The following is a 19,306-nucleotide window of genomic DNA, read 5'->3' as shown; positions in this document are numbered from 1 at the left end:
GGTTCACGGCATTCTCCTGCCTCAGGCTCCCGAGTAGCTGGGACTACAGGCGCCCGCAACCACACCAGGATAATTTTTTGTATTTTTAGTAGAGACGGGATTTCACCGTGTTAGCCAGGATGGTCTTGATCTCCTGACCTCGTGATCCGCCTGCCTCGGCCTCCCAAAGTGCTGGGATTACAGGCATGAGCCACTGTGCCTGGCCTCTGTGTCATCTTAAAGACAATATTATTTGAGTCAGTATACTGAGCACCACAGTCTGAATGTTCGTCACCCCCACAAATAAAAATAAATAAAAATAAAAAATAAAAAAAAGATGTGATGAGATCCTAACCCCCAAGGTGACTGTGTTAAGAAGTGGGGTTTTTCAGGAGGTGATTAGGTCATGAGAGCGAGGCCTTCATAATGAGATTAGTGCCCTTATACAGGTACAAGGGAGCTTCTTCAATCCCTTCCAACATGTGAGGACACAGCAAGAAGGTGCCATTCTATGAACTAAGCAGTGGGCCCTCACCGGACACCAAATCTGCCAGCATCTTGATCTTGGAATTTTCAGCTTCCAGAACCATGAAAAATAGATTTCCATTGTTTATATGCCACCAAGTTCATGGTATTTTGTTGCAGAATCTCAGATAGACACTGAGTAAAGAAGATTCTCCCTCACCACTATGGGTGCGGATCATCCAATCAGTTGGGGGCCTGAATAGAACAAAAGATGGAAGAAAGGCAAATTCTCTCTCTCTCCTTGAGCTGGAACATCCATCTTCTCTTGACCTTGGACACTAGAATTCCTGGTTCTCGTGTCTTCAGACTCCAGGGTTTGTACCAGTGGGGCCTCTGAGATTCTCAAGCCTTTAAGCTCAGACTAAATTACACCACTGGCTTTCCTTGTTCCCTAGACTGCAGATGGCAGATTGTGGGACCTCTCAGTCACCATAATAGTGTGAGCCAATTCCCATAATAAATTTTCTCTTACATGTATCTCTAACCTATTTGTTCTGTTTTTCTGAAGAACCGTGACTAATACAAACAGCTACTGGTTATTTACTTAAAGTAAAATCAATTGAAATGCTAGTATGAGAGAGAATAACAGATTGAAAAATGAACAAAGCAAAGATGCACTTTTAAGACCCAAAACACACACACACACACACACACACACACACTTCCAAGAACACCAACAACAGAAATCCTTATTATAGTGCAATCAATAAAAATCTCTAACAGTCTCAATAAAATACATTTTTGTTTTGCAAGCTTTTTCTGTAAAGGACCAGAAAGTAAATATTTTAGGTTTTCTGGGCAATACATTCTCTCACAATTAGTCAACTCTGTGTTGTGGTGTGAAAGCAGCCACAGACATAGTCAACCAAAAGGATGTAGCTATGTTTTAAAAATCTTTATTTGCGGCTGGGCGCGGTGGCTCACGCCTGTAATCCCAGCACTTTGGGAGGCCAAGGCAGGTTGATCACAAGGTCAAGAGATCAAGACCATCCTGGCAAACCTGGTGAAAACCACGTCTGTACTAAAAATACAAAAAATTAGCTGAGCATGGTGACACGCACCTGTAGTCCCAACTATTCAAGAGGCTGAGGCAGGAAGATTGCTTGAACGTGGGAGGCGGAGGTTGCAGTGAGCCAAGATTACGCCACTCACTGCACTCCAGCCTGGGAACAGAGCGAGACTCTGTCTCAAAAAAAAAAAAAAAATCTTTATTTGCAAAAATAGGTAGCAGGCTGCATTTAGCCAGTAAACCAGTTTACCAATGCTTGACTCACACTAGTTCTACAGTACATGTAACATGTCAGGCATGCAGAATGCACTTCCTAAAATTTGAATGAATAAATCACTACAATGTGAATAGGACTTTTGAATGAACACATACAAATATATTCATTTCAACAGAGAAGAACTGTATCATGTGGGAGAAGTAAATAATGGAAACTGACTTTTAGAACTGGAAGTAACCTTAGAAATATCTAAATATCAACTCACTAATTTCATGGATGAGGAAGCCCAAGCCAATAGTATTCAAATGGCAGGCACTATGTTACATATACCTTTCTTTAAAATGAAAAAATACATTTCAAAAAAATCCTAAATAACCAAACAAAAAATGCCAAAAATAAGACCTCACTAGATTTAGTGATAAGAATAAGATAAACATTATTGTAGGATTTTATTGTTTGTCATAGTATACGACAAGCAGCAATTTTAACATTCTCTAGTTTTTTTATTGCTCTGTCACAATTTTCCCATAAACCACGTTACTTAGAGAAATAACTTTTTCTAACAAAAATAAACTAAGTTCCTATCTATCAACATTGTGAGGAAAATTGTCAGGCATTGCAGAAAGAAATATAGGCTCAATTTTATTTGAGTAAGGTAAGAACAACTAATATATTACCCATTTCCCCATTACATGACTTCTTTGGTTATCAAACATACAACACTTTATCTACCCTGAATTTACCATACTGTTTCTATAAAGAAGGGCTGCATATAAAATAGAAGATTATACAGACATCTATATTTAAATATATCAATGGAAGGGAAAGAGTTTGTATTTCTATTCAATAGCTACTAAGGAAAGTGAAAAACCTCAGTTTTGTATAAATGAAATATTAGGGTAAATTTAATAATGTATACAAAAACAATACTTTATTATCATTGAATTAGTGTACTGTATTTTAGGGAAGAACAGAGGATGTTCTAAGGAAATGGTTACTGGGGGAGGCATAAAGCATAGCCCAGTGTGGTTAACTACCATCAACTGGTGTATATCAAGTGTTGGCTCTTCTTCCAAATAATTATCACTATTTTACGTTTCCTTCCTTAAAACATTCCTTGTTGTTATAAGATCATGGAAAAAACACACAAGCCAATTCACTGAAAAAAAAAATAAATACATTAAATAGAAAAGATACAAATATGACTAAGTCAAGGTTAAGAATACATGTAAAGTTACATAATCTTATTTATCTGAAAGAGAAGTAGCCCATGAAGATAAAGCATCAGAATTTAATAGAAATAACAGAAGTTTGCCAGTGGTAAACTACCTCGAACCAAACACTTTTTCTTCCTATTCCTCCATTTTTTGGTTTCTGAAATGCAGGTTTGGATGAGGTGTTCTGTAGGTTCCTTAGAGGTCTATAATTTTAAATATGTTTGCTTAAATGCTTTACATTTTCTAAATCATTTTGTAACTAAATTAAACATTACCTGAACCTCAGGGTAATATGAGATCATGCAATGAGGGGACATGAAGCCATTGACCATTTCACACTTATCTTTCATGAGAAAAATGGCTTTTAACCAGAATAAAATTCAACAAGAACCTTTATATCACAAACTGAATGACAACTCAAAATAACATTTAAAAAGCTTTGAATACATTAATCATGTCTGGAGAACTTACTAAGCCAATGCATAATGCTTCTTTTTGTAAGGTAACACAAAATTTTTCTGTTTAATGTTGCCAACGACAGGGCTGACTGCATGATAATTAAATGAAATACTATTAGTTTACCCAGATACTACATTGTCATTATAGATTAGAATACAGGCAGCCCCCAATTTACAGTGGTTCAATTTACTATTTTTCAACTTTATAATGGTGCAAAAGTGATACACATTCAGTAGAAATCTTACTTTAAATATCATTTTTGATGTTTTCCTGGGATGATGTTATGTAGTATGATACTCATGATTCTGGCCAGTTGCAGTGATCCACAGTTCCCAATCAGCCACACAATCATGAGGGTAAACAACTGATATTCCACAGTATACTGAGTTTCCAGCATTGTTTGGATATTGTGTTTTATGTTTTTGCATCCCATCATGTCTAAAATAGGCCAGTCTGTCTCCTGTGTCTGGTGAGAAGTGGAAGGCAATTACTCTTGAGAACTCAAAATAATTGCTCAACAAGGTGGCAAGCCAATAATGGCTACTGCATGTGAGTTAGGACTTTCACAATCCACAATCTCAACCACCTTAAAGGATAAGAAGTGAATCCGTGATGCAGTGAAATCATCAGCATCAGTTAAATGCACTGTTACCACCATTAAAAACCTGGGTCAGTTAATGATATGGAAAAATCACTTGTCATGCGGATAGAAGACAAGATACAGAAGCAAATACCACTTAGCCTACTGCCGATCCAGGTTAAGTCAATAAATCTTTTCAATACATTAAAAGAGCATGTCTACCTGCAAATGTTGACAGCAAGTCAAGGTAAAAGGTATCAGAATTTTCATAATGTGAAGGTCCGTGGCGAGGAAGCAGATGCCAATAATGAAGGTACCGAAGTTTTTAAGGAAGAGTTGCATAGGATACTTGATAAGAAATATTTGCCAGAACAAATATTTGGTGTCAATAAAACAAGCTTGTTCTGGAAGCGTATGCCAGGGCATATATACATTCATCAACAGCCCAAGACAATGCCAAGATTCGAGGCATTCAAAGACCATGCAATGCAATGATGCTTTCGGTTGGAAATGTTGTAGGGTCAAATTAAAGCCTTTACTAATCTACCATTCTCAGAGCCCTAGAGCATTCAAGAATGTAAGTATATTCTTCCTATTTATTATTACCATAACAAGAAAGCCTGGATGATGTTAGCATTGCTTGAAGACTGGTTTTTGAACTGTTTAATTCCATAGGCAAGAGAATACTGTAGGCAAAACAATATCCCATTCAAGATTCTTCTGATCTTAGACAATGCACAGCATATTGGTGATATGCATCCTGATGTAACAAAAAGTTAACTGCTGTCTAACATGACTTCACTCATTCAACCAATGGACAAAATCACAATACTGTATTCAGAGCATACTATCTACACCAAATGTTTGCACAGGCTGCTGAAGTGACTAAATCTGGCCAAACACGGATAGTTTTGGAAAGATTTTAACATTCTAAATGCTATCTGGAACATTGTTGCAACAAGGGAGGATGTCGCACAGCAATGCACCAATGGCATTTGGAAGAAAATTTTGAAGACGTGTGAACACATTCAAAGGCTTTAACAAAGATTCTGCTGTTGATGAAATGGTAAGGAACAAGATTTTAGTGCTTGGGAAGTAGCTAGAATTGGACATTGATGAAGAGGATATTCATGAGTTTGTTGGCATTGGGGCTGAGGGACTGATTGAACTGGAGGAAGAAAGAAGTAAAGAAGTTGAGGCAGAGGAAGAAGTTATATCCAAGGCACCAAGAAAGTTCACAGCAAAGAAACCGGTGTAGGTGTTTGCTACTGTTGGTAGCGGCATATGGACGTTAGAAGAGATGGTTATCAATTCCAAGAGACTCTCAAGAGCTGACAGGCAGATACAGGATATTCTTTCCTCCTATAGAGAAATACACATGCAATGAAAAGAAGAAGCGAGCTATACAATCAAAACTTGATATCTTCCTGAAGAACACTATGCCTGCTAAACTGTAAACATGCTGATGCCCCAGTGACTTCCTCCAGCTAGTCTCAAGCCTCATTGGAAGAGAAAGAAATTGATGACCCTGTTGCTGTAGCATCCCCATCATTTAGCAATTAATCTTGGTTCAATGCTTCATTCTTCAGGCCCAGTGTGCTTTCAGCTGTGTACATTAACGGTAAATACTCATATAACCATTCTGTTTTTTCACTTTCAGCATTTGATAAGTTATATGAAATAGTCAACACTTTATTATAAAATAGGCTTTGTATTAGATGAATTTGCCCAACTGTAGGCTAATGTTAAGTATTCCGAACACATTTGAGGTAGACTATGATGTTTGGTAGGGTTAGGTGTATTAAATGCCTTTTCACTTCATGATATTTTCAACTTACGTTGGGTTTATTGTGATATAACCTCACTATAAATCAGAGAGCTTCTGTACTGTATTTGGACAGTATATTTCTAAAAATGTTTTATTGAGCAAAGTAGCTAAATTCTTTCCTGATAGAAAAGTTACTGCCCTTGTGCCTATGTACTTTTGAATAGACAACTCTGAAAACCAACATGTATCTTCCAAAAGGTTCAATGCTAACAGAATTAGCACACATTTCTAATCCTCACCAATATCAATACAGTCTAAAACTGTTTTCCCTACTCCTTGTAAATTACTATTTTTAGGTGGCTTTTTTACAATTTTATAATCCAGGGCAAAATTTATTATCCATTCATTTTTTTTCATTCATTTGTTCAAGAAATACACAATGAGCATCAACTATGTGCCAGGTATATATAGTTTTCTGGTGTCTTCCAAAACATTCACAAAACTACTTGGGAGAATAAAAAGCTTTTGGTTCAGCTAGAGCTAGATATTTAATCACATAACCATTTGTTCTTCTCCAGTGGTTTTTTTCTTCTTTTTCCATTAGCTGTGCTTTTACCTAATGCTAACTTTAGCTTAATAACTTTAAAACATAGATGGAAAACTGCTCCTCCCTCAAGTGGTGAACCTAAATGTCTTATAGTGCTGGAGACTCTCAATCCTCAGATATATGAAGCTCTCATCTCACTGTTTCTGGCCTTTGAGCCAAGCCTCCCTGTTTTCTAATCCAAAATTCTTAATCTCGGTACTAGAATTCATACTTCTAGAACCCATAGGTATTTATGCCCCTAAAACCTCATAGAAAAGCATTCCACAGAGTATAGTATGCAATGGTAGAGAAGTGGACATTTGAAACGGCAAGGGTGATAATAAAAGCTCATATTAGGTGCATCTCTGTCCCGCACTATACCGAGTTCTTTACACACAGTATTTCATGCAATCTGACAGCTTCTCTGGGGAGAAGTTATAATCACTCTATTTTTTAAAGTGAAAAAGTTGAGGTTCAGAGAAAGTTTCAGAACTAGCACAAATTAGTCAGACTCAGCCCTCTTCTGTTTCAGAGTATTAGAGAAACACAAATAGACCAGGAGAAAAAAAAAAGTAAATCCCCAAAAACACACATATATGCTCCTTCCTTCCCCAGCCTATGTCCAATGAGTACAGGAATCCAGGAATCCAGGAATCCAGTTGCTTTTGCTGCTCACTGAACCCACAGCAATAGCTGGGAAACTTGTAACTATTTCCTAGACATTGTTAAATAAATTATAATTAATTTACAGGCATATTATTCCTCACCACCTTTATAGGGTACCTTTTTTTTTTTTTTTTTTTTTTTTGAGACAGGGCCTCACTTTGTTGCCCAGGCCGGAGTACAGTGACATGATCTTGGCTTACTGCAGCCTTAACCTCCTAGGCTCAAATGATCCTCTCACCTCCTGAGTAGATGAGACTACAGGCGTGTACCACAACGCCCAGCTAATTTTTTTGTATTTTTATAGAGATAGGGTTTCTTCATGTTGCCCATTCTGGTTTCTAATTCCTGGGCTCAAGTGATCCACCTGCCTAGGCCTCTCTAAGAGCTGGGATTACAGGCAAGCGCTACCATGCCTGGCCTACATGGTGCTTTTTAGTGTTCATCACGGATAAAAATAAATAAGACAAATATAAAAATATATAAGGTATGGAAAATTGTATACATATTACAATAAAAATCATTGAGCATTATGAAAAGTAAATACAAGCTTAAATATTTTTAAATGAATATTAATTGGCTTTGACTTCTACATTGCCAGAGAATAATAATGTACAAATACACAAATAAGCAAAAGGAATAAAGGGTTACTGTTAACTAGCTCAGATTTTATTCTTGGCTAATTTCACCAAAATCTTATACTAGTCAGATTTATCACTTAGATGATCTTTCTGATTTAGAGTGGAACAAATTTGTTAGAAAAGGGGTGCTTATGATTCTCATTCTCTTAAAAATGAGAATTCCCTCCCCATGGTGTAGTGAGGTAAAGAATATGTTTAAAAATAGAAATTTGTGCTTACTGAGGTTGAAGATAATTGTCATTTTCCAATGCAACTCTGAATTTTATTTTTAGTACTAGATAATGTTCAAAGTCCCAAACTTTCTAATTAATGTGTGCAGTAATATTGATCTCTAAGCAAAAATAGGAACTGAAAAATGGACAACAGACATTTGGTCTTTCAAACCTAAATAAAACACCACAAATTTGAAATGTACATTAAGATCTCATTGCCAAGAGTCAGCACTCTTAGAAGAGAGGTCATATGGCAAGCAGACATGAGTAAAGCGAAGAAAATAACTCCTTCACCCAAATATTCAGCTGGTTAGGAGGGTTAGAGAATCAGAGGATTCCTGAATACCGACTAGAATAGAGAACTTCTGTATGAGAAGTCCTCTATGAAACAACAGGTGTGCAGGCTGGTTCTTCTTTCCCATTCTTGCCTCTTTCCTTGTCTTCATCACGGGGACTTGGTTCTGTACAATATTGTAAAAATGTAAATAAACATGGGATTTGGAAGTAATCAAACCTACTCATTCTAGGTTTCACCACTTAATATAATTTGACCTGAGGAAAGTACCTTCTTCAAAATTCAATTTCCTCTTTTCAGGAATCTAAATTAGATGACTACAGGTTATTGGGAGGATTTGAAATAATGATTTTAAGTGCCAAGCACTGACATAAAATAGATATTCATAAAGTCATTGAAGTTATTGCCGTTGTTGTCATTACTAGTTCAAAAGCGACAAGAGTTAGTAGCAACATTAGTAGGAAACTATTTAGCTAGAAACATTAGAATGCACTCTCTTTTTGCTATATATAAGGAAACTTTAGTGGAGTTAAACTAACCATCTTCTTTTCCTCCTCATTCTTGTTTATAAAAATTATGGTGTTAGAGCTTTTTATTCATTTTTCTTAGATAATACCCAGATTCCCACAATTGAGCTTGAAAATTAATGACTTAATCACATAGTCTGACATCACTTCTGGTTACTCTGTCCCAGATAATGTGTTGCTGAAGCCAGTTCTTCCATTAGTGATAGATGTGCTGTTCCATGTTCAAAGCCAGTGAGTCACACTCTTCAGTGATTTGCTCTTCAACTGATAGAATGCTACTGACCATGAGCAGTATTTCAAATTCGGTTTTAATTCTAGCTTTTCTTAGACCAAGATTTAATATTTAAACCTGTGGAAAATAGTGACAAAAATAAATAAAACTGGACATTGATGACCACTATTAAGTCTGCCTAGCCAATGCAATAGCAGCTAACTTCTTAAAAACTGGTAAACAATATCTATATTGGATAATGGAACCATGTGGGAGGAACAATTTTAATTAAATTCAACTACCAAATTTAGAAAGTGATAGATTAATGAGACAGAAGGAAATTCCCAATACACATTACTGCAGGGGGCATTTTTTAAAAAGTTGAACAGCATATCAGGTAATTTAAGGTCTGTTCCTAACAAGCCTGGAAAGTTTGTAGACTCTATCAGTCTTCAGACTTTGCAAAACTATGATAGGCAGCACTTTCAACTAAATTAGAAACAGTCTGAATTGATAAATCCATAGCCCCTTAATTTTTTTCTTTATAAGCGCTTTTTTTCCAAATTAAATGATCAGCTTGGAAGATTTCAAGAAGATATCCCTCTCCACCTTCCTATGTGTGTGATCTTACCTTGAATTTATGTCACCTGATGCTCTGTAGAATATACACCTGTTCAGACACAGCCCTGTTCAGACAAAGCCCAGCTTTGCAATTCTCATTATATCTAGTGTTGGCTTCCTGTGAAAAATGGATAGTTCCATCTAGTAATCCCCTCTATTCTCCTGTTGAAAGCATTATTTGATTTTATGTATTATTTATTTCTCTGGCTGCTTGATTTCTTAAGGTGAGTGGTTATCAAATAAGGACCTAAGACTTCTCTGTATCAAATCTCACCTAGGGCCAGTTTTGATCTCCAAGGGACATTTGGCAATGGCTGGAGTTATTTTTGATTGTCACAACTAGGAGAGCACTATTGGCATCTAGAGGATAGAGGCCAGGGATGCCTCTTAACATTCTATAATGCACAGGACAGCCCCTCACAACAAGGAATTATCTGGCTACAAATGTCAATACTGCCACTGTTGAGAAACCCTGCAAAAAGGAAGCAATGGATATTTTGAGTTATTTTCAATAACTTTTAAAAGCTTAATAAAATGTGTACTTATCTAAAATCACAACATACAAGCTAAATAAAATTTAAATTATCTTTGTTTTTGGTTGATTTCAAAATAAATTGGTTTAGTGTTGCCTCTTATTTCATGCTCATGAGAAGCCCTGGTTGGCAATTGTCTATGCTACTTAATAAGAAATTGTTCGTTTATAATAAATGTAATTGAGCTGGCTTTTTTTTAAAGATAAGGTTAATGAAGGAATAGATGAATTAAAGCAATAATTACTGCTGATAAAGCTAATAACCACTGATAGAGGTCTTATTTATCACAAAAGAATGTTTAATCTCATATAAAGGATACATAATCTTGTTTTCTGAAAAAACTAAAACAAAAAAAATTTCCAAGTGAGTTTGTCTTCTTTTCTAATTAAAACTTCATCATAGTTTCCCATACTAGCTTGCAGCCTATCATTTTAGTTTTGATTTTAATTGGTTATTCATCTCCCTGCTGTTTGATGAATGTACAGATCTCTTTATGGGACTTTCAGACTTGAAAGCATTTTCTCAGTTCCAAATGAGAAAATCATTTTCTTGACCTAACTATTCTGCTCTTGTACATTTCTCTTTTTTCCACTATAGTTTTCAAGTGGAATGCCTTTTGCCTTTCTTTTGATTAGCTCTCCTCCATCTTCCTGTGGTGTGGATTTACTATTTTTGATCTGTAAGAACCACTATGACCCAGGTCAACAACAATCCTTCTCTAACTATGTATGAAGTTCCCTTCGATCTCCATTTGCCTTGATGCATAAGGCAAGTAAAAAGCAGTGGGAATCGTAAGGACAGTTGGTGACCCACTTTTAACACTGAAACATGTTGAAGGGCATTACACTATTTCCAAGGTACAATCTGTGTGTTATACGTTTCTCTTCAAAACCAATCCTCACACCACTCCTGCTGAGACTTTGCTAAGTCTCTCTACTTTTGTGTAACATAATTTTGTAAAGCCTTGAAACATATATTTTTTGGTCATTCTATTCTCTAGACTATTATAAGCTTCTGCTACCTTTTAGTAGAGTTGAGTGGCTACTTCAGCCTCCAAAGAGGATGAAATTTAAAGGGCCTGCAATTTTGATAGTTGCAGAATCAACATAAAAGTGCCCTTTTGAGTAGATGGCAAAATCAACTCACAGTCACTATGAATATTGTATATCCTAAAATTTAAAGATTGTGGGGTATAAATTTTCATTAAATCAGTTGATAATTTTGGCTGAATGCAATGGTCCAAGACCCAGGCTAGGTGCCAGTAAAATAAACATGATCCTCTCTCAAGGGGTTCATATCTTGCTGGAGGAAACTTACCGGTAAGCAAATACAATGTGTCATGTGGCATATGTGAGATATGCACAGCATATAGAAATAAATACAGTATAATAGAAACATGAAGGGACCTGTTCAATCCTACAGAAGCAGGGGAGGGGAAATTGGGGAGACTATCCTTATTACATTCTCTATTTAAAATTTTCTACAATACTCTATCTACTATTCCCTAAATCTTTGTATAAGATACAATTTACTCCCTCAGTAAAAACTACCAGCATCTCTGCTTTCTCATCATCTTTTTCCTTCTGCTATTTATATTCTTTCTTGTTTCCTCAATTGCTTATTTTCTCCATTTCTAACCATGAAACCGCTATCTCAGTAATAAATATCTGACTGGGGACATCTTGATTTCCAGGACACTTTTGACTAGTTGTCAGAGGAAATAAATTTAGTTTGGGAATATTTTCATTCTTTAGGTATTAATTCTACTTTCCTTTTACTCCATTAGAAGTTTCACAGAGAGGACCCAAATTTCTAGCTAGATATTTTGCCTCTGCCTCAATATGGGACTTGTAAAACTTTCAGATAGGAAGAAGGCACAAAAGCCTGAGCTATGTCACACTTTCATTCAGAAAGTAAGACTTTATGGGAATAGCCCAGTTTAAACTCGGCTTTTATTCTGTAAATAAATTCAAGTCACTTGATCTTCCTTTGAAACTTTCTAGCTAATCCTTTTGTTGAGTCCCTCTGGTGCTTAAGCAAATGGTTAGAACTAATTGTTTCCTACCTTGGGGAAAACATTTGTTGTAGAAGAATTAACTTAACTAGATCAACAAAGCAGCTACCTCCTTTGTTATCTTAGATTCCTACCATCTCTAATCCCCAGAATGTTCTGACCCTGAAGCCTGCACAGGCTGGATATTTTTAGTATTCCTCTCCAATATCCTCTGAAAAGTAGTTATCTGATTTGGAAAAAATACGCTTGTTAAATGTATTTTAATAATACAAATTACTTACTTCAAAATCACCTATGTGTCTGTATATACACATCTATATGATACATAATTATATGTATATTTGTGTATGTATAATTATATGTGTCATATGATATAAATTTAAGCACCATGTGTATATAGATGCAAACACAAATTTAAGTTAGATTAGAATGATTACATCTAAGAGCTTGTAAGAAAATTAAAATAATAACCTACCCTGACTTCGCTTCCAATTTAAAAATAAATTAATTGATGTACAGAAATCTAACATAACTACTCAAAGTCATACAAGCTAGTTAATAACAGAATTAGCTTGAACTAATAACAAGTATTCCACATTTCTACTCCAGTGCCTTGTCCATGTTAAAAATTTCACAATTAACTTGTAGTGTAGGCAGAGTCATTTCTATTGCCACCATCTGTGATAGGATATCAGAGGTATGTGCTCTGGAGCGATGAGATTTTATCAACCAAACAAGGATGACTAAATGAGAAAATGCTGTCTAGTACTTACCAAACTGCCTGGCACAGAATAAATTTTTAATAAATCTTAGCTTTTGATGTTGTAGTTGTTTTGGTTGTTATTGACACTTAAATGTTGTAAATACTTTAAAGACGGCTGCTAAAGATCCAGTGTAATGGCTCACACCTATAATCCCAGCACCTTAAGAGGCTGAGGCAGGAGGATCCCTTGAGGCCAGGAGTTGAAGACTAGCCTGGGCATAGCAAAAACTCTGCCTCAACAAAAAAAAAATGATAATTAAAAAATTAGCCAAGTGTGGTGGTACACACCTAGAGTCCCAGCTACTCAGGAAGCTGAGATGGGAGGTTCTCTTGAGCCTAGGAGGCTGAGGCTACAATGAACTGTAATTGTGCTACTGCACTGCAGCCTCAGTGACAGAGCAAGACCCTGTGTTAAAATAAATACATAAATAGATATTAAAATGGCTGCTAAGTAGTTATGACCAGATAATTTTTTTTCTAATGAAATTATCTGGTCAAATAGAACAGAACAGAGGCCTCAGAAATAACACCACACATCTATAACGATCTAATCTTTGACAAACCTGAGAAAAACAAGAAATACGGAAAGGATTCCCTATTTAACAAATGGTGCTGGGAAAACTGGCTAGCCACATGTACAAAGCTGAAACTGAATCTCTTCCTTATACCTTATACAAAAATTAATTCAAGATGGATTAAAGACTTAAATATTAGACCTGAAACCATAAAAACCCTAGAAGAAAACCTAGGCAATACCATTCAGGACATAGGCATGGGCAAGGACTTCATGACTAAAACACCAAAAGCAATGGTAACAAAAGCTAAAATTGACAAATGGGATCTAATTAAACTAAAGAGCTTCTGCACAGCAAAAGAAACTACCATCAGAGTGAACAGGCAACCTACAGAATGGGAGAAAATTTTTGCAATCTACCCATCTGACAAAGGGCTAATATCCAGAATCTACAATGAACTTAAACAAATTTACGAGAAAAAAAATCAAACAACCCCATCAAAAAGTGGGCAAAGGATATGAACAGACACTTCTCAAAAGAAGACATTTATGCAGCCAACAGACACATGCAAAAATGCTCATCATCACTGGTCATCAGAGAAAGGCAAAACAAAACCACAATGAGATACCATCTCACACCAGTTAGAATGGTGATCATTAAAAAGTCAAGAAACAACAGGTGCTGGAGAGGATGTGGAGAAATAGGAATGCTTTTACACTGTTGGTGGGAGTGTAAATTAGTTCAACCATTGTGGAAGACAGTGTGGTGATTCCTCAAGGATCTAGAACTAGAAATACCATTTGAACCAGCCATCCCATTACTGGGTATATACCCAAAGGATTATAAATCATGCTTGCTGCTATAAAGACACATGCACACATATGTTTATTGTGGCACTATTCACAATAGCAAAGACTTGGAACCAACCCTAATGTCCATCAATGATAGACTGGATTAAGAAAATGTGGCACATATACACCATGGAATACTACGCAGCCATAAAAAAGGATGAGTTCATGTCCTTTGCAGGGACATGGATGAACCTAGAAACCATCATTCTCAGCAAACTATCGCAAGGACAGAAAACCAAACACCGCATGTTCTCACTCATAGGTGAGAATTGAACAATGAGAACACTTGGACACAGGAAGGGGAACATCACCCACTGGGGCCTGTCATGCGGTGGGGGGATGGGGGAGGGATAGCATTAGGAGAAATACCTAATGTAAATGACGAGTTAATGGGTGCAGCAAACCAACATGGCACATGTGTACATATGTAACAAACTTGCACATTGTACACATGTACCCTAGAACTTAAAGTATAATAATAATAAAATAATTATCTGGTCATAATTTATTTTATGTGATTAATTGAATTATTAAAATATTCATTAATTTAATAATTCTAGGGCAGCTTTTTTTTTTTTTTTGAAATGGAGTCTCGCTGTGTCACCCACACTGGAGTGCAATGGCAGGATCTCGGCTCACTGCAACCTTGACCTCCCTGGTTCAAGTGATTCTCCTCCCTCAGCCTTCTGAGTAGCTGGGACTACAGGCATGTGCCATCACACCCAGCTAATTTTTTGTATTTTTAGCAGAGATGGTGTCTCACTGTGTTAGCCAGGATGGTCTCGATCTCCTGACCTCGTGATCCGCCTACCTCGGCCTCCCAAACTGCTGTGATTACAGGCGTGAGTCATTGTGCCCGGCCAGGGCAGCCATTTTATTTATTTACTAATCTTGCAGACTAGAGATTCCTGCTTCGGGTCTTTGAGACTTAGAGTTTCATGAACGTGTTTAAGGAGGCTTGTAAATGCCCAGAATATATGCTTAAATTGTTTAATATATGTGGAAATGTCTTATTCTGGAAGAGAAGTGATAGTCTTTATCAATTCTCAAGGTTCACCCATGTCGTAGTATGTATCAGTACTTCATTCCTTCTTATTGTCAAAAAATATTCTATTGGACAGATTACATTTTGTTTTTCCATTTATCAGCTGATGAACATTTCCACTATATGGCTATCAAAAATAATGCTAATATGAACATTGTGTACAAGTATTTGTGTGAAAACATTTTTGCAATTCTCTTGGGTATGTACCTAAGAGAATTGTTGGGACAAATGAAAACTTTATGTTTAACTTTCTGAACAATTGCCAACTTGTTTTCCAAGGGTGTTGCACTATTTCACATTCCCACCAGCAACATATAAGGGTTACAATTTTACATCCTCACCAATTTTCCTTTTTTTAAAAAAAAATTATATTCATCCTAATGAGTGTGAAATGGTATTCCATTATGGTTTCCATATGTGTTTCCCTAATAACTAATCATGTTGAGAATGTTTTCCTGTGTTTATTAACCATTTGTATATTTTCTTTGGGGAAAAAAATAGTCGGCCAGGGGCGGTGGCTAACGCCTGTAATCCCAACACTTTGGGAGGCTGAGGCAGGTGGATCACCTAAAGTCAGGAGTTCAAGACCAGCCTGGCCAACATGGTGAAACGCTGTCTCTACAAAAATACAAAAATTAGCCAAGCATCATGGCCGATGCCTGTAATCCCAGCTACTGGGGAGGCTGAGGCGAGAGAATCACTTGAACCCCGGAGATGGAGGTTGCACTAAGCCAAGATTGTGCCATTGTATTCCAGCCTGGGCTACAGAGCAAGACTTCATCTGAAAAAAAATTTTTTTAAGTCATTCAGATTCTTTGCCTATTTTTTTATTGATTTATTTGTCTTTTTTTGGTTTAATAGTAAGAGTTATTCATATATTCTGAATACTAGATCCCACCAGATACATGATTTGAAATATTTCTCCCACTCTTTGGGTGGCCTTTTCACTTTATTGATGACATCCTTTGAAACACGAAAGTTTTAAATTTTTATAAAGTTCAATTTATCTATTTTTTTTTTTTGCTTGTGCATTAGCTATTATGTGTAAAAATTATTTGCTTAATTCAAGGTCAAAAATATTTAGATGAATAATTTTTTCTAAGAATTTTATAATTTTACCTGTTACATTTAGGTCTTTGATCTCTTTTTAGTTAATTTGTGTATATGATGCAAGCCAGACATCTACCTTCTGGTATATTAATACAATATACTTTAGGAATACAATTAATACAATAGGAAGCAGATACCTAAATTATATCATTCCTCTTAAGATCTTCTCTAATTCAAGGTTGAATACAATATATTTCATTTTAGATAAAGAAAAATTTTTATAACCTAGATTTTTTTAAAGAATTAAATTTTATGTGTCTGGCTTATTTCACTTAAGATAATGACCTCTAGTTCCACCTACATAGCTGCAAATGACAGGATTTCATTCCTTTTTTATGGCCAAATACTATTCCATTGTGCTTATACACCACATTTTCTTTATCCATTCATCCTTTACTAGACACTTAGGTTGATTCCATATCTTTCCTATTGTGAGTAGTGCTGCAATAAACATACGAGTGCAGGTATCCCTTTGATATACTGATTTGTTTTCCTTTGGATAAATACTCAGTAGTGGGATTGCTGGATCATACAGGAGTTCTATTTTTAGTTTTTTAAGAAAACTCTGTACTGTTTTCCATAGTGGGTGCACTAATTTACATTTTCACCAACAGTGTATAAGTGTTCCCTTTTCTCTGCATCCTCACCAGCATCTGTTATTTTTTGTCTTGTTAATAATGGCCATTCTAATTGTGGTAACATAATATCTCATTATGGTTTTAATTTGCATTTCCCTGACGATTAGTAATGTTTAGCATCTTTTCATATACCTGTTGGCGCTTTGCATGACTTCTGAGAAATTTCTATTCATGTCTTTGTCCACTTTTTAAAGTTTCTTTATTGTTCAATTCCTTGTAAATTCTGGATATTAGTCCTTTGTTGGATAAATAGTTTGCAAATGTCACATGTTCTCACTCATATGTGAGAACTAAAAAACTTAATCTCATGGAGGTAGAAAATAGAATGATAAAGATACCAGAGGCTGGGAAAGGTGTTGGTGGGGATGAAGAGAAGTTAGTTAATGGTACAAACAGTTAGATAAAAGAAATAAGTTCTAATGTTCAGTAACTGAATAGGGTAACTATAGCTAACAACAATGTGCTATATATTTCAAAATAGCTAGAAAAGAGGACTTGAAACGTTTCCAATACTCAGAAATAATAAATACTTGATGTTATGGATACCCAAAATACCCTGACTTGATCATTTCATAGTCTATGCATGTAACAAAATATCACATGTACCTCACAAATATGTACAAATATCTGTATGAATAAAAAAGAGAAGAAACATTCGAATAAGAAAAAAGTTATAAATTGCAAATATTAAAAAACTAAAATTTTTAAATTAAATGTTAACAAATTATTCTTAATGAAGAAAGGAGGTGTAGCTCTACTACACTGAGATGTAATATAATTAGCATTGCATTCCATCTGACCTGGGGGAAACACCATCAAATCACATAATCTTGAGTAGCTCATAGAACATTCACAGCAGAGAAAATGAAAATAGTGCCAGAGTAATAGAAATAAAAGAGCAATCTCTGAAGTAAGAAACAATTAGAACTGGTATTTTGATGACCACATTGTATGAGTGCATTATAAGTATCAAATAAACTTAAATTTAGAACAATTATATGTATCAAAAATAATTAACAGTAATTCAATCCCAATGCAAGAAAATAATATCCCAGCACAAATTTAAAAAGATACTCAAAGTATCAACAAAATTTGGATAACTCCCAAAGTGAATTCCAGACTCAACCAAGATAGAGATAATTATCTTAGTTACATCTGGATAGGTACCTGGTCTCAGTAAACTCTCACTAGACTATTATCTTGATTCTGGTTTGAAGACTAGGCAAATCAGGTAAGCAACACCAAAACATCATTATCTCTAAAGAGAGATGTACACACCTACTTGTGTATGCAAATGCCTTATTAGGATGTTAGAAAAAAATAGAATCTCTATGTTTTTAACTTTGAAAATGAAAACATTTAATGTTTACTGGTATTGAACTATTAATATGATTCCATATGATGACCATGTTCAGTTTATAAATTAGATGATATTATGTCACGTGGAAGATTTATCCCAAAGAAAGAGTGAAAGTTCTGCAACTTGGAGAGGGTAATAAGAAAGGTCTCATTAATTGATTTGCTTTAAACATAAAGTATCATATTTCAGTGCACATGTAACCAGAAAAGAGATGTATTGATTAGATTATCCGGTTTTAAATAAACTAATTCTCATTAAATAGGCAAAAAACTATAGACTATTTCTGTAAAAATCTGGATTTAAGATATTACTAGTCATAAGAAGGGGGAAAATTGGACAATAAGAGAATTGTAGAACTAATTCCTATACTCTCTAGCAGAAAAACTTTATCAGCCACATTGGAAGATAAACAATGATAATCTAGTTGGAGCTGACAAAAGGTGCCAAAAATGTTAAAATTATCTAAAAGGCTTTTGAAACATGAGTTTATGTATTATTTACAATGAGCGGTATTACAAAATATTTGTGATTTTAGTAAGTAAGTGATTGGCTTTCAAAAGAACTTCATGTTATAGAAAGTGTTTTAGAGAAACAACTTTTAGAAATATTGATCTTTATGTATCATTACTGCTGAAATATAGGCATATCAACATTTAAAGAGAAAAGCTTAACTTTTTCACTTAAAAAATTTGAAAACATAACTTTCAAAACATCCTAAAGAAAAGTGCTAGATATTTAGGCCATTTTTTCAGAAGCTAGAATTTGTTTGCAAGAATAAATTTTTGACTTCCAGGGAGATGATAATTCATTAGATGAATTTCACCTATAAATCTTTGCATAAGTAAGGAATGCAGTTTAAAAGTAAATTTCATGTTGTATTAATTGCAGCCGTGAAATGTTCCTTCCATTTAAATCTATTACTGCCATTAAAACCAATAATCAAGAACTTGATTTTTTTATTTATTTT

The 19,306-nt window shown here is 35.3% G+C and overlaps 1 annotated feature.

Annotated features, from left to right (window-relative positions):
- Window positions 11,760-12,394: an enhancer, noted in NCBI's record as "OCT4-NANOG hESC enhancer chr12:83604635-83605269 (GRCh37/hg19 assembly coordinates)". NCBI's record gives its function as "activates a minimal SCP1, AML or CMV promoter by ChIP-STARR-seq in primed H9 embryonic stem cells {active_cell/tissue: H9 hESC(primed)}" and the evidence as "EXISTENCE:reporter gene assay evidence [ECO:0000049][PMID:30033119]".

Source organism: Homo sapiens, chromosome 12, assembly GCF_000001405.40.
Source record: "Homo sapiens chromosome 12, GRCh38.p14 Primary Assembly".
In the NCBI taxonomy this organism is placed as follows: Eukaryota; Metazoa; Chordata; class Mammalia; order Primates; family Hominidae; genus Homo; species Homo sapiens.
Note: the sequence above shows the minus strand (reverse complement) of the source record. Positions and strands in the feature narration are given on the sequence as shown.